At 48.9% G+C, this 13,195-nt stretch overlaps 1 protein-coding gene across 2 annotated transcripts in view, besides 1 other annotated feature; it reads left to right on the forward strand.

Moving 5' to 3' along the window:
- PNKD (PNKD metallo-beta-lactamase domain containing) overlaps window positions 1–13,195 on the forward strand; it is a 76,275-nt gene that overhangs the window by 22,570 nt on the left and 40,510 nt on the right. The window lies entirely within an intron of this gene.
- Window positions 93–939: an enhancer, noted in NCBI's record as "H3K27ac hESC enhancer chr2:219157904-219158750 (GRCh37/hg19 assembly coordinates)". NCBI's record gives its function as "activates a minimal SCP1, AML or CMV promoter by ChIP-STARR-seq in naive H9 embryonic stem cells {active_cell/tissue: H9 hESC(naive)}" and the evidence as "EXISTENCE:reporter gene assay evidence [ECO:0000049][PMID:30033119]".

Raw genomic sequence — 13,195 nt, forward strand, 5'->3', positions numbered from 1 at the left:
TTCGAGTTTAAAACTGCAAACATGCAAACCTAGAATCTCTGTTTATAATTACTCAACCAGGAAAGCAGGTGCTTTCCTCAAGTCAGAATTCAGAAGTCCTACATTGAGATGTAGATTACTACTGTTAGGTAGGTCTTAACCCTCATCTCAGTGAAGAATGCAGTAGCAAAGGAGGAAACAGTTTTGAGGAAGTTCTGAAATATTACTGGAGCCTGGGCATGGTGACTCACACCTGCGATCCTAGCACTTTTGGGAGGCCAAGGCCAGAGGATGGCTTGAGCCCAGGAGTTGGAGACCCAGCCTAGGCAACATAGAGAGACCTTGTCTCAATTTAAAAAGAGAAACATTACCGAGCCTTGCCTGAGTTTCTGTGGTTCCAAAGTCCAAGTTCTTTCCATGACACCAAGGCTGCCAGTAGTTGACCAACTCTGTTTAAAGTGCTTATCTCATGTTAATAGCTATAGGTCAGCACCACACCACCACTGAATGTCCTTTTTTTTTTTTTTTTTTTTTTCCAGACAGGGTCTCGCTCTGTCACCCAGGCTGGAGTGCAGTGGCGCCATCTCGGCTCACTGCATCCTCCTCCTGGTTTCAAGTGATTCTCCGGCCTCAGCCTCCTGAGTAGCTGGGATTACAAGTGTGTGCCACTACACCCAGCTAATTTTGTTTGTTTGCTTGTTTGTTTTGTTTGGTTTGTTTGTTTTGTAGAGATGGGTTTTCACGTTGTTGCATAGGCTGGTCTCAAACCCCTGAGCTCAAAGCAGTCAGCCCACTTTGGCCTCCCAAAGTGCTAGGATTACAGACATGAGCCACCACGTCCAGCCCCAAAACAGAGATTTAAAAAAAAAAAAAAAAAAAAAAGACAGATTTTTAAAAACTGCCCCCCATACACACACTATGTATGTTTATTTCTGTAAATATAGTTTAAGTAGGAGTTACTTAGGGGGACTAGTGGCCGTTATGGTGGGCTAGCTCCCCAGACACCCCAACCCTTCAGTGTACTTCCAGTTCCTACAGGCCAAGAACCTCATTTTAGGAAGTCCCCACCCAAGGTGTGATCTCACCAGAGCAAGTACAGTTCTGCTCAGTGTCTGTCTCCCCCTTGCTCAAGGAGTAGCGCCCTAGGTGAAATGCATGGCCCATGGAATCTGTCCAGATCCCTGACATTTTTTCATGCTCTCTACACTTGTGCTGTCTTAGTCCATCTGGGCTGCTACAACAAAAATACCTTAGAGTGGGTAATTTAGAAACAGCAGAAATGTATTGCTCACAGTTCTGGAGGGTGGGAAACGCAACATCAAGGCACCAGCAGGTTAGGTGTCTGATGAAGGCTCCCTCTGCTTCACAGATATCGTCTGAGTCCTCATATGGCCAAGGAAGGAACAAACAGACACCGCCCCCCCACCAGCCTTCCTTTTTTTTGAGATGGAATCTCACTCTGTGCAATGGCACAATTGCAGCTCACTGCAGCCTTGACCTCCCATGTACAAGCAATCCTTCCAACTCAGCCTCCTGAGTAGCTGGGACTACACACATGCACCACCACACCTGGCTAATTTTTGTATTTTTTGTAGAGACAGGGTCTCACTATGTTGCCCACGCTGGTCTTGAACTCCTGGGCTCAAGCAATTTGCCCTCCTCCACCTCCCAAAGTGCTGGGATTATAGGCGTGAGCCACTGCACCTGGCCACCAGCTTCTTTTCTAAGAGCATGAATTCCATTCCAGAGGGTTCCGCCTTCATGACCTAATCACTTCCTAAAGGCCTCACCTTTTAATACTATAACATTGAGGATTAAGTTTCAACAAATGAATGGAGTGGGGACAACAACATTCCCACCATAGCAGGCCCCTTCTCCAGAAAACACCCTCCACTTTCTAGAACCACCAGGATGGTTAATATCCAAGGAGATTCCATTTCCAACCAGCAATCACCAGCGACTCACATCTGCCCGACTGGGGGAGTGGGACATGGGGCACACGAGGCAAGCCCACACAAGCCTTGCTGCGTGCTTTTTCTCCAGAGCCCTTTTTCTGACTATAGGGTCAAAAATAACACCTGAAGCGCCTGGCCCAGAGCAGCAGTGCTTCGCTGGCAATAGGCATTCGATAAATGATGTTTTTTTCTCTTGGGCCTTATCTGCAAAATTATTAAGTAAGCTTTTATTGTCTGCCAACCAGACAGGAATTTCCGGTTCTAGAAATGAGAAGGCTGAAAGAACACAGCCCCTGCTCTCAAGAAACTCACAGTCTAAGGGAGCCAGTAAAATGACAGATTATTACAATGTTGACAGTTTGACAAGTGCTGGCAGATAAAGAAATATTCACTTGGTTCCTCCAGATCCCAGAGAAAGCTCCTAACCCAGTGTGGGGAATGGGGTGGGGGTTCGGGAAAGGAGTTCAGAGGAGGTGACACCTGAGTAGAGTGTTAGGAGGTGTTAGGAACCAGCCTATTCGGAGGAGGGGAGAAGGTTCTCCAGGCAGAGGGCAAGGGACTTAGGGCCAGTTGCCCCAGCAAGCTAGGATGGGGGGTGGAGGGTGCAGTGGGGTAGAAGGGGTAGGAAATAGGGCTGGCCAAGGAGGCAGGGGGCCAGAAATTGAGATTTTACCCTGAAAGCAATGGGGAGCCAGAAAATAACCACCTAGAGGGAGTTTGGGAGGGTTGGGGAGGCTCTGGTGGTGCCCCTGGGGTAGGGTTCCAGCTTTAGCAAATAAAGATGCAAGGCAACCAGTTTGAGCTTCAGATAAACAACAAACCTTTTTTTTTTTTTTTTTCAAGACAAGGTCTGGCTCTGCACTCCCAGGCTGGAGTACAGTAGTGCGATCTTGGCTCGCGGCAACCTCCACCTCCCAGGCTCAAGCCATCCTCCCACCTCAGCCTCTCAAGTAGCTGGGACTACAGACATGAGCACCACCACGCCCGGCTAATTTTTGTATTTTCTGTGGAGACAGGGTTTTGCCATGTTGCCCAGGCTGGTCTTGAACTCATGAGCTCAAGCAATCCATCCGCCTCACCCTCCCAAAGTGCTGGGACTACAGGCATGAGCCGCTGCGCCCGGCCAAACAATATTTTTTCATATAAGCATATCCCACTGCCCCATATAATATTTGGAAATACTTGTACTAAAAAAAAGTACTCATTGCTTATCTGAAATTCACATTTAACTGGTTGGTTGTATTTTTCCAGCAACACTACCTAGGAGGAAAGTGGAGTCAAGTCCATGGCTGCAGGAAGAGGGGTGGAGGAGTGAAAGGGATTAGACTGATGTTTATTTTAGGACTGGATGTTATTTTAGGTATTTTAGGACTAGCTAAAGCTTAGTGATTGGTGGGAGGGGGTGGTGGCAGCCTGGAAGGGGTGGGCCCAGGTGGAACCTGAAGGACATGGGCAGGAAAAACTTAATTGGAGCGGTGGATCCAGAGAACTTTCTCTGTTGCCACCCTCCAGCCCAGCCCCAGGACTCCACTAATTGGTCCTCCAAACCCTTCTCATAGCTGCCTGGTTACCTAGCATTTAATGTGTTACTCTACCCATGCATTGATCACTAACTTTCTGAAAGAAGTTGCCTTTTTTCTGTTTTTCTTTTTCTTTCTTTCTTTCTTTCTTTTTGAGATGGAGTCTCACTCTGTCACCACGGCTGGGGTGCAGTAGCATGATCTCGGCTCCCTGCAACCTCCGCCTCCTGGGTTCAAGCGATTCTCCTGCTTGGCCTCCTGAGTAGCTGAGATTACAGGCGCCCACCACAATGCCCAGCTAATTTTTGTATTTTTAGTAGAAACAGGGTTTTGCCACGTTGGCCAGGCTGGTCTTGAACTCCTGGCCTCAGGTCATCCACCTGCCTTGGCCTCCCAAAGTGCTGGGATTACAGGCAAGAGCTACCGCGCCGCCCGAAGTTGCTTGTTTTCAGAGGACGTATTTACTGAATTGAGGCATTGAACCCAGCCTGAGGTGAAAGTGCCTGTTTCTCCCCACTGGAGGGCAGAGACAATGTCTCATTCACCCCTAGGCCTGGGCACGGCCCTGACCCAGCATCTGTTGAATTGAATGCCAATGTTCCAAAGTGGGATGGAGGGAGCCTCTCAGGCTTGAATGATAGATGTGTGGGGGATAGATAAGGTAGGGGTGGGGTATGGGGGCTCCTCCCCCTTAAAATTGGCCTTATTATTCATAAACATTATTTAACACTTTCCTAAGGAAATAGAGAGTGGAAAGAATGGTGGATTTGGATGTCTCAGAAGTGAAGTTTTGTTCCAGCTTTGGCACTAAAGGACTGTGAGGCCGGGGGCCCATCTCTCTACTTAGAAATCACACTGTGGCTGGTCACAGTGGTTCATGCCTGTAATCCCAGCACTGTGGGAGGTCAGGGGGTGGATCACCTGAGGTCAGGAGTTAGAGACCGGCCTGGCTAACATATAGTGAAACCCCATCTCTACTAAAAATACAAACAATTAGCCAAGTGTGGTGGCGCATGCCTGTAGTCCCAGCTACACCGGAGGCTGAGGCAGGAGAATCGCTTGAACCTGGGAGACAGAGGTTGCAGTGAGCCGAGATCATGCCACTGCTCTCCAGCCTGGGCAACAGAAAAAGACTCCGTCTCAAAAAAAAAAAAAAAAAAAAAAAGAGAGAAGAAAAGAAATCACAGTGGCTCACGCTTGTAATCCCAGCACTTTGAGAGGCCGAGGCGGGCAGATCACAAGGTCAGGAGATCGAGACCATCCTGGCTAACATAGTGAAACCCCGTCTCTACTAAAAATAGAAAAATTAGCTGGACGTGATGGCAGGCGCCTGTGGTCCCAGCTACTCAGGAGGCTGAGGCAGGAGAATGGCATGAACCCGGGAGGCGGAGCTTGCAGTGAGCCGAGATCACGCCACTGCACTCCAGCCTGGGCAACAGAGGGAGACTCCATCTCAAAAAAAAAAAAAAAGAGAGAGAGAAATCATACTGCATTTCTCTACCTCCTGTGACTTCTGGCGCCTTCCTCAGTTGAGGTCATCTAGGTGAAAGGCAGTGAGAAAGGCACATGGCGGATGTTGATGGTGACTGAAACTGCTGTAACTGGAAGTGGGTGGCACCATGAGGAAGCCAGGCCACGGAACCAGCCTGGCATCCACCATGCTGCAGGCAGGGCCAGCGAAATGCTTTCCATTCTTCCCTGACCCTCAGAGTCACCTGAGCTGCTTGTGAAAACATGCACGTTCCCTTGGGGATACTTCTTTCCAGACCTGTGAATCAGAATCTTCAGTGGAAGCATAAACAAACGCTCCCCAGGTGAATCGCCAGCCACACCAGCAAGCTTTGGTGATAGACAGTCCTGGGTTTGAATCCAAGTTCAAATGTCTTTGGTGGCTTTGTGACCTTAGGCATATTACTTAACTGCTGTGAGCCTTGGCACCTTATCTATAAAAAGGGTGGTAATAATATAGGGTAGTTGTAAGAATGAAAAATAGCAGTTGTCAAATGCTTGGGGCAGAGTTAAAATGTTCATTGTTATTGTTGTTTGTGAGATAGAAGCCCAGTGATTCTCCCAGTGATGAACACAACCTCCTTTCACACTAAGCAGGGCCTGGAGGGATGAACTTGCCCGAGCTGGGAGCTCAGCAGGGCCAGGCTCCAGCTGTGCCCTTACACCCTGCCCTCTCGCCATGGACCTCTGCCACCTCTGCCAGCCAGAATACCGGGGGATTCTCAGCTTTCAAGCCCCTCTCCTCGTCCATCTTGGGCTTCATTCTCCCACTCTCTTGCCCCCCACCTAGGAAGCTCCTCCTCATAGATACTTGCTTTTGTCTAAACAACTCTACTCCCCAAGAAAAGCCAACAGCGATTTCCTCTTATTCCCAACCCACGATATTAGCTGCCTGAGAACCTCTCCTTACCAATAACTGCACCCCCTCCATAATCTCAATTTCAGGCACCCCACACTCTGACCACCATCTATTTTTCCAGCTCTGTGACCGTGATTTGACAATTCTGTGACCATATCAGGATCAACAATCTATTCATCTTACCACCTGTTCCTTTATTTTATTTATTTATTTTATTTTATTTTATTTATTTATTTTGAGACTGAGTTTCGCTTTTGTCACCCAGCCTAGAGTGCAATGGCAGTGCAATGGCGCGATCTTGGCTCACTGCAACCTCCGCGTCCGAGGTTTAAACGATTCTCCTGCCTCAGTCTCCTGAGTAGCTAGGATTACAGGCACCCGCCACCAGGCCCAGCTAATTTTTGTATTTTTAGTAGAGATGAGGTTTCACCACGTTGGCCAGGCTGGTCTCGAACTCCTGACCTCAGGTGATCCACCTGCCTCAGCCTCCCAGAGTGCTGGGATTACAGGCGTGAGCCACCGCACCCGACCTATTTGTTTATTCATTTATTTTTGAGACAGGGTTTCGCTCTCACCCAGGCTGGAGTGCAGCGAAGCAGTCATGGCTCTCTGCAGCCTCAGCCCCCTGGGCTCAAGCCATCCTCCCACCTCAGCCTCCCAAGTAGCTGGGACCACAGGCACACACCACTGCACCTGGCTAATTTTTGTAATTTTTTTTTTTTTTTGAGACAGAGTTTTGCTCTTGTTGCCCAGTCTGGAGTGCAATGGTGCCATGATCTCAGCTCACTACAACCTCCACCTCCCAGTTTCAAGTGATTCTCCTGCCTCAGCCTCCCAAGTAGCTGGGATTACAGGCACGTACCACCACGCCAGGCTAATTTTGTATTTTTAGTAGAGATGGGGTTTCTCCATGTTGGTCAGGCTGGTCTCGAACTCCTGACCTCAGGTGATCCGCCCGCCTCAGCCTCCCAAAGTGCTGGGATTACAGGCGTGAGCCACCGCGCCCGGCTAATTTTTGTAATTTTTTGTAAAGATGGGGTCTCCATATGTTGCCTAGGCTGGTCTCAAACTCCTGGGCTCAAGTGATCCACCTGCCTCAGCCTCCCAATGTGCTGGGATTACTGGAGTGAGCCACCGCGCCTGACCACCACCTCTTTCTTATCTCTCACATCCTCACTTTCCTCCTTGACCAGCTTGGATTCCAATATTATAATTACTCCTTTGCATGCAGCCTCAACTCTACCTTATGGTTCTCAGCAGCAAAATCTCAACTCTGCACCCACATAGCCAAAAGTGAGGGTAAAAACATGCAACGGTCCTGACTGATCTCGCTTTAAGTTCATGCACACTAACTTGTCCATTCATACTAACACACCCATCCTAGGCAATTACTCCACACTTTCTACAGTCCCTTCTGAACTCCCACACCTCCTCTGCAGCCTCACTCTCAGCCTCGACTTTGCTTCCTATGTCTCTGAGCAAGCAATCAGAGAATTGCTGCCTATATCACCACTTGGATGTCTAATAGGTGACTGCTTCTCAAACTTTAATGTGCAAATAGATCGCTTGGGGTTCATGTTAAAATGCAGATTCTGCTTCAGTAGGTTGAGAGTCTACATTTTTTTCTTTTCTTTTCTTTTCTTTTTTTTTTTTGAGATGGAGTCTCGCTCTGTTGCCCAGGCTGGAGTGCAGTGGTGCGATCTCAGCTCACTGCAACCTCCGTCTCCTGGGTTCAAGAGATTCTCCTGCCTCAGCCTCCCAGGTAGCTGGGATTACAGGCATGCCCCACCACGCCCAGCCAATTTTGTATTTTTAGTAGAGATGTGTTTTCACCATGTTGGTCAGGCTGGTCTCGAACTCCTGACCTCAAGTGATCCACCCACCTCTGCCTCCCAAAGTGCTGGGATTACAGGCATGCACCACCACGCCTGGCCATAGGTGAATTTTTAATGGGATTTTTAAATACTAAGTCTTCAAAATCTGGTATGTATTTGACACAGCATATCTCAATTAGGATGTTACTTTTTCATCAGAAATATAGGATCTGTATTTAGATCAAATCTGAAAAGTGTTTGTAAAATGTACATACTTGAGTGTTTTCCAATAACTGAAATAAGCATCAAGGTTTATTTTATTATTGTTTTATTTTTAGAGTAAAATGAAAGCAAGTTTATTAAGAAAGTAGAGGAATAAAGAATGGCTACTCCATAGACAGAGCAGCCAATGTTTAGATTTAAGTTTAAATGAATTAAAATTACATAAAATTAAAAATTCAGTTTTATAGTTGCACTAACCACATTTTATGTGCTCAGTGGCAAGTGGCTAGTGGCTACCATATGAAACAGCACAGATCTATAGCGCTGGTCATTGACTTAAGGGGGAATTCTGGGGGTCAGGGTCTAGATCGTAATTCATCTTGGCCAGATGCCTAGCCCAGGGCCTGCACTCAGTACTTTCTGCTGCGTTCCATTTACTTTTAACAAGTCAAAAACTGACATCTAGGAAGCGGTTGGAACAAGCCACAATCAGTTCCCAGACATGACCACTAGGGGGCAGAGTCTGACTAGCACTGTTTGGCTAGAAAAAGGGAGCCTTGGCCGACGCAATGGCTCACACCTGTAATTCTGCATTTTAGCCAGGCCCAGGCAGAAGCATGGCTTGAGCCCAGGAGTTCGAAACCAGCCTGTGCAACATAGTGAGACCCATCTCTTTAAAAAAATTAAAACATTAGCTGGGCATGGTTGTGCGTGCCTGTAGTCCCAGCTACTTGGAAGGATGAGGTGGGAGGTTGGCTTGACCCCAGGAGGGTCAGGGCTGCAGTGAGCTGTGATTATGCCACTCCAGCCTGGGCAACAGCCTGAGCTACCATCTGTCTCAAACAAACAAACAAAAACGGGAGAAAAGAAAGGGGCCAGGACTCAACCCCAATACCATTAAGATTTATTTAACAAGCATTTATGAGGGGCCAACTGTGTGCCAGACCTGTGGGGATACAGAAGTAAATAAAATACAGCCCCCGCTTTCTTGGAGTTTACAGTCCAGTAGGGAAGGCAGGACAGATATTAGCAACTCATCTCATAAGCAAAGGTATCTTTACAAACTGTAATACATGCACTTAAGGAAAGCTGACTCAGTGCCCTAAAAGAGTGGCACCCAAGGCAGGGAGCTGTGGCTCACGCCTGTAATCCCAGCACTTTGGGAGGCCGAGGCAGGCAGATCACCAGGTCAGGAGATCGAGACCATCCTGGCTAACACGGTGAAACCTGTCTCTACTAAAAATACAAAAAATTAGCCAGGCATGGTGGTGCGCACATGTAGTCCCAGCTACTCGGGAGGCTGAGGCAGGAGAATCACTTGAACCCAGGAGGCAGAGGTTGCAGTGAGCTGAGATAGCGCCACTGCACTCCAGCCTGAGCAACAGAGTGAGACTGCATCTCAAAAAACAAAAACAAAAGAGTGGCACCCAGGCACCTCTTATGTTGGCAGAAGGTGGCATGAAAGAGTAGCTACAGAGGGGATGGGCCGTGGGGGGTGGTGGACAATGGTGCTGTGACCCTTCTAAGCAGAAGGATCAAGCTATGTGAAGGTGTGGAGACACCCCTGAAGCTGAAAGAGCTTGGCATGTTCCAGAAACTTCCAGGAGAGTGGTGTGGCTGGAGAGTGGTGGGCACTGGGGCATGGCCCAAGAGGAGACTGGGGAGGTGGCAGGGGCCAGGTCTACAGAGTCTCAGGGCCTCTTTAAGGACTTCAAATTTCAGCCTAAAGATATCAATGAAAACATTCAAACTCTGTAAAATATTTGAAGAAATTTATTCTGAACCAAATATGAGCGACTATGGCCCTTGACACAGCCCTCAGGAGACCCTGAGAACACGTGGCCCAAGGTAGTCAGGGCGGGGGGACAGGGGCGCAGAATGTATGTGTGTGTTGAAGGGAGCTTCCAGGTTATAGGTAGATTTAAAAATTTTCTGATTGGCAATTGATTAAAAGAGTTACCTAAAGGCCTGGAGGTTTTTTTTCTGTTTGTTCGTTTGTTTGTTTGTTTGTTTTATGGAGTCTCACTCTGTTCCCCAGGCTGGAGTGCAGTTGTGCCATCTTAGCTCACTGCAACTTCTGCCTGCCAGGTTCAAGTGATTCTTCTGCCTCAGCCTCCCAAGTAGCTGGGATTACAGGTGCCCACCACCATGCCCAGCTAATTTGTTTGTATTTTTAGTAGAGACAGGTTTTCACCATGTTGGCCAGGATGGTCTTGAACTCCTGGCCTCAGTGATCTGCCCACCTTGGCCTCCCAAAAGTGTAATCCTTGGGATTACAGGTGTGAGCCACCAGCCCAGCCCTGAACCAGTCTTTCAGGTTAACTTTGGAATGCCCTGGCAGAGGAGGGAGTCCATTCAGATGGCTGAGGTGAGGGGGCATTGAATTTTATTTTTGGTTTACAAAGGAAGCCATTGAGTGATTTTGAGCAGGGCTGGGACATGGGACATGATCTGGGTGGTATTTTAGGAGAATCACCCTGGCTCTGAGCGGTGAATGGGTTGAGGGAATGGAGCCCGAGAGCAGGAAGGCCTTGAGGAGCCACCTTGGCTACAAGATGAAAGGTGGTGGCACCAGCCCCCACCCTGAGGTGTCAATACCCCACGACCCCCATCCCAGACCTGCACTTCTTTTTTTTTTTTTTTTTTTTTGAGCAGAGTCTTGCTCTGTTGCCCAGGCTGGAATGCAGTGGCATGATCTCGGCTCACTGCAACCTCTGCCTCCTGGGTTCAAGCGATTCTCTGCCTCAGCCTCCTGAGTAGCTGGGATTACAGGTGCCCACCACCATGCCCAGCTAATTTTTGTATTTTTAGTAGAGATGGGGTTTCACCATCTTGGCCAGGCTAGTCTTGAACTCCTGACCTCATGATCCACCTGCCTCAGCCTCCCAAAGTGCTGGGATTACAGGTGTGAGCCACCACGCCCGGCCAGACCCGCACTTCTTTGGTTTCATTTGGCTGGTTTCCGTTTGCTCTCCACATCCCCCTCCGTCTTCTCCACCCTGCTTGGAGCTGGTCCTATGGACACCTCAGTGGGCTCTTGGTCCTCCAGCTGCAGCTGAGTTTGGCAGTGGAGCTCTCCAGGAGGAGATGGCAGCAGAGGTGGAGGGTTTGTCTCCTTCTCCCTCCCTCAAGGCTCACCCCAGACTGGCTTATCCCTCAACCAGTGGTCACAGCCCCTATCAGTTGGGCCTGTCCACACAGCTCTGTCTTTGTTTTTTGTTTTTGAGACAGAGTTTCGCTCTTGTTGCCCAGGCTGGAGTGCAGTGGCGTGGTCTCAGCTCACTGCAACCTCCCAGTTCAAGCGATTCTCCTGCCTCAGCCTCCCAAGTAGCTGGGATTACAGATGCCTGCCACCATGCCTGATTTTTTGTATTTTTAGTAGAGACAGGGTTTCACCATGTTGACCAGGCTGGTCTGGAACTCCTAACCTCAGGTCATCCACCCGCCTCGGCCTCCCAAAGTGCTGGGATTACAGGCATGAGCCACCGCACCCAACCTGTCTTTATGTTTTATAACAGCTCCCTTCCTGACCCTTCAGGCCCAGGGGTGGCGACAGTGTCACTAGCCTGGAGAACTGTTTCCAGCACCTGCCGGTAGCCTTGCAGAGCACTAAAACTTAACTTCTCTCAAGCTCTCCTCAGCTTTCCCAGTTTGCCTGTGTCATCTGTTTCCCAGCAGACACTGACACATGTTTTCTACCCAGGCTGGTTACAGAGGATCAGTGGAAAGAGCATGGAATTGGGGGTCAAATAAAACCATAATTGAATTTGGGTTTTGTCGCCTGTGATGGTATGAGTCATTATTCTCTCCAAGCCTTCGTTTGTTCATCTCTAAAGTGGGGCGACTGGCCGGGCACAGTGGCTCATGCCTGTAATCCCAGCACTTTGGGAGGCTGAGGTGGGTGGATCACTTGAGGTCAGGAGTTCGAGACCAGCCTGGCCAACATGGTGAAACCCCATCTTGGTGAAACACAAAAATTAGCCAGGCGTGGTGGCGGGCACCTGTAGTCCCAGCTACTCGGGAGGCTAAGGCAGGAGAATCACTTGAACCTGGGAGGTAGAGGTTGCAGTGAGCTGAGATCGCGCCACTGCACTCCAGCCTGGGTGACAGAGCAAGACTCCATCTCAAAAATAAATAAATAAATAAAGTGGGGCGACCATCACCTTCCTTATAGAGTCGTGACAATGAAATCCCACGTGCAAGGGCTGTGCGCAGGCCTTGTGCTCAGTAGACAGTCTACACTCGGTTGTTCTGTTCTTCCTTCCCACACAACAGAACAAACATTTATCACACTGCATGCATCAAGCCCAGTGCAAGGTGCTGGGGATGAGGGAGAGACAAACAAGTGGAGGCCGCCATTTTTTGCCTACAGGGAGAGCTCAGTCTTGTTTTTGCCTGTTAGTTTGTATGTTTGTTTGTTTCTGAGACAGGGTCTTACTCTGTCACTCAGGCTGGAGTGCAGTGGCAAAATCATAGTTCACTGCAGCATCAACCTCTGACCTCAAGCAATCGTCTTGCCTCAGCCACTCAAGTAACTGGGACCACAGGTGCATGCCATGTCTGGCTATTTTTTTTTTTAATTTTTTGTAGAGGTGGGGTCTCACTGTGTTGCCCAGGCTGGTCTTGAATTTCTAGACAATTTTCCGATCCATCATCCCGCCTTGGCCTTCCAAAGTGCTGGGATTACATGCATGAGCCACCACCCCCAGCCCAGAGGTCAGAGTCTTGTAAAGAAAAGGCTATGGCTCCTCTGGGTGTGCCCCCTTCCGCCCCCACCATAGCCAAACCATTCGTTTCTGTTTGGCTGTGAGATGACATTTTTTCCAGGGTCTGGAGTTAGAGTAGTGACCAGGCAGTGCAAATAATTGTGGTAATCAGAAAAGCCTTCGAAGAGGAGGTTGAATTTATTTTTAGCCTTAAAGAAACTGGACTAAAAGGAAAGGCATTATCAGCCTCCTTGAGAACTGAACTCATTCTCCTCCCTCCTCTGTTGAGAGCTGCCAGACTCCCTAGATTGAGAATTGGACCTTCATTAGTTATGGTTACTCCTGGAAGGGTATCACATCCCCGGGGGCATGGTAGGGCTGGAAGGTACCTGGTATCTTGAGGAAGCTGCCTAAAAGGATTTCTCCAGGTGGCATGGGGCAGAAATCTAGGATAGTGATCAGGGCAGGCTGGCAGACGGGACACATGTGGAGGGGAGCAGCAGGAACGCCACACACTAGAGAACTGGGCTGAGACCATGTCGCTAAAACAAGGGATGCAAATTTGATTGTGTAGACACTGGCTTTGAGCAGGGGGAGCCCCTGCTTGAAACTGATGGCTAGGGGCTGCAGG

Source organism: Homo sapiens, chromosome 2 (assembly GCF_000001405.40).
Source record: "Homo sapiens chromosome 2, GRCh38.p14 Primary Assembly".
In the NCBI taxonomy this organism is placed as follows: domain Eukaryota; kingdom Metazoa; phylum Chordata; class Mammalia; order Primates; family Hominidae; genus Homo; species Homo sapiens.